Here is a 2739-nt window from a genome sequence, read left to right on the forward strand (position 1 = left end):
AAGATGAATCTTGGGGATGGGTACAAGGCAGCCTCCAAAGGGAGGATTTGTTCACTTTCTTTGATTTGTCAGGTTTTCAGCTCTTAAAAGGGCACCTACAAATTAAGCGCACAGATTATTTTCTCAAACTCTTCTTGGTTCTGTTCATTTCAATGGGAGAATAGTAAAGTAGCATTTAGACCCAAAGTATTTTCCAAATGGAACATGCAAGTTGGGTGCTAAACATTTACCAAGAAGGCAGACGTGGAGTCCAGTCATCTTATTTCAAACAGAAACATTGTTTGGCCAGAAATCACTTCAGGGCAGAGCTGATTCCAACGTTCACAGCGGCTACAAAAAGGATTCTATTTTGGCAAGCAAACACTTCGAAAAAAGCATTTTTAGCCATCCATGAAAAAGGAGTGAGTGCCCCCTGGTGAAAATGTGGGAAACGTTTCCATATGTTATTTTTGGCTGGCAAGAAGGTGCAGATGTCTTCACAATAAAAATATACTCGCTATGAGAGCGCGCCTCCTTGAGAAGAGTTGGCAAGATTTGGGGCACTGGATCCACAGAGTGGCAAAGAAGCACAAAGGGAGGAAGAAAGCCAAGCCATCACCAAGACAGTCAGGAGGGTGGGCACTGGAGTCAGTCACACAAGCTGGGATCATGGGTGACTTCCGTTTTATTGTTGTATTTTTTATACCTGTGTTGGGTGGTCTGCCCTCTCCAAACTCACTCTCCACGTATCTTCACTCTAATCTGTGTCCAGGGAGGCTGACCTTTACAGATATATTAACACACTCCCTTCCCCTCTGGCTTGTAGGTGAGTTCAACCAAGGGAAGACACCAGCAGGTGACCAGAGGGTGGAAAAAGTGACACTGAGGTGTTTATTCCCAGAGCTCATTCTTTGCCAGTGCAGGCTGGAAGGGACTGTATCCCCCATCTTATGGTCTCAGCTCCATTAAGATAATCAGCTGACCTATATCTGTAAGTCTGTCTCTCTCCAGGTGAACTCTCCCTTTCAAAGTTCCTTCATGCTTAAGGGTGGTAACAGCTCCCCATTTTTGCTGACCTGGGGTGCTTCACCATTCTTGTTGAGTTCTTTTCTTTTTTTTTTTAAGACTGTGTCTCACTTTGTTGCCCAGGCTGAAGTGCAGTAGCATGATCATAGGTCACTGCAGCCTCGAACTCCTGAGCTCAAGCCATCCTCCTACCTCAGCCTCCTGAGTAAACAGGGCTACAGGTATGCACCACCATGCCTGGCTACAGGCTGGTCTTGAACTCCTGGCCTCAAGCAGTTCTCCACCTCATCCTCCCAAAGCACTAGGATTATAGGTGCGAGCCACCACACCTGGCCTTGCTGGGTTCCCTAAATCTTACCCACACCTCTGTGAAAAATCTATGCAGTAAATGTATCTTCTTGGTCTTTGTGAGTGTGCCATCTCTTTCCCATGAGTACTCTGACTGATACAGTACTTTCCATATATTCCAAAATTTCTACAATAAGCATCCATCCCTATCTAACTCCAGGGAAACCTAAGGCTTCTGGTAGTCCCAAATTCTAATCCCACCAGTTCTGACCACTTGGACTGGGGTTCAGTTAGAAGAATCGCAATGTGGGACTCTTTGTCTTCAAGGTCTCACTTCACTGCCGCATGCTCCAGTGATTAATTAGTCCACTGCCAACCTTTTGACTCAAGCTGCTGGCTTCACCTGCACCTCTACATTTTGAACAGGAAGAAGAAAGATTCTGTTTACATTCAGCCTTCACCTATCTCAGCAGGAGGGAAGGAGAACAAGTTGTTCTGTCAGGAAGAATCGAAAAGATTAAACAAACAGCATACTGCTTCTGCGGGTCTAGTGTTGGCAAGACCAGGAACTCTGTAAACCACAAGAACAGAAGGGCAGCCTGCTGGTCAGTGCCCAGGCATCCAGCCCAGGGATCTGTTTTTGACAAGAGAATACAGAAGTATTTAGGCCTTGCCAATTTACACCTGTCTTCCAAACATCCGGACTTCCCTCATTAATCTATTAGTTCGGTGCAAAAGTAATTGCTGCTTTTGTCATTACTTTTAATGGCAAAAACCTCAATAACTTTTGCACCAACCTTTAATATTATGAACTGTCATCCAAGATTGTCCCTATATGCTTTTTGTTGCAGTGAACAGAGATGATGAGTGACGAGCATGCCAGATTGCCTCCTCTCTTACTATGTGATGAGGACCAATTTTAACCTTTCCAAGACTGACTGCAATTGTCAAATGGAGACGATAATGCCTACAGCATAGGATGGTTTTAAGGGTATATGTGGCCAGGCAGGGTGGCTCACACCTATAATCCCAGCACTTTGGGAGGCCAAGGCGTGTGGATTGCTTGAGCCCAGGAGTTCGAGATCACTTTGGGCAACATAGTGAAACCCCATATCTGCGAAAAGGTACCAAAACATTTGCCAGGCATGGTGGTGAATGCCTGTAATCCCAGCTACTCAGGAGGCTGGGGTGGGAGGATCACTTCAGCCTGAGAAGGTTGAGGCTGCAGTGAGCCATGATCACACCACTGTGCTCCAGCCTGGGCATCAGAGTGAGACCCTATCTCAAGAAGAATAAAAGGGCAAATGAAGCCATGCATACAAGGGGTGCCATCCCAAACACAGAGTCGGCATTCAATAATATGGTTTTGCTCCTTCTCTTTGTCTTCTTGAGATATTCTAGGTTTCCATATCCTCATCAAACTTCAATAGTCTGATCATCATGAAG

The 2739-nt window shown here is 45.5% G+C and overlaps 1 annotated feature.

The window, feature by feature from the left end:
* Positions 275-569: a silencer, noted in NCBI's record as "tiled region #3100; HepG2 Repressive DNase matched - State 8:EnhW". NCBI's record gives its function as "represses a minimal TATA promoter and a strong SV40 promoter by Sharpr-MPRA in HepG2 cells {active_cell/tissue: HepG2}" and the evidence as "EXISTENCE:reporter gene assay evidence [ECO:0000049][PMID:27701403]".

The sequence above is a fragment of the Homo sapiens genome, chromosome 16 (assembly GCF_000001405.40).
Source record: "Homo sapiens chromosome 16, GRCh38.p14 Primary Assembly".
Classification (NCBI taxonomy): domain Eukaryota; kingdom Metazoa; phylum Chordata; class Mammalia; order Primates; family Hominidae; genus Homo; species Homo sapiens.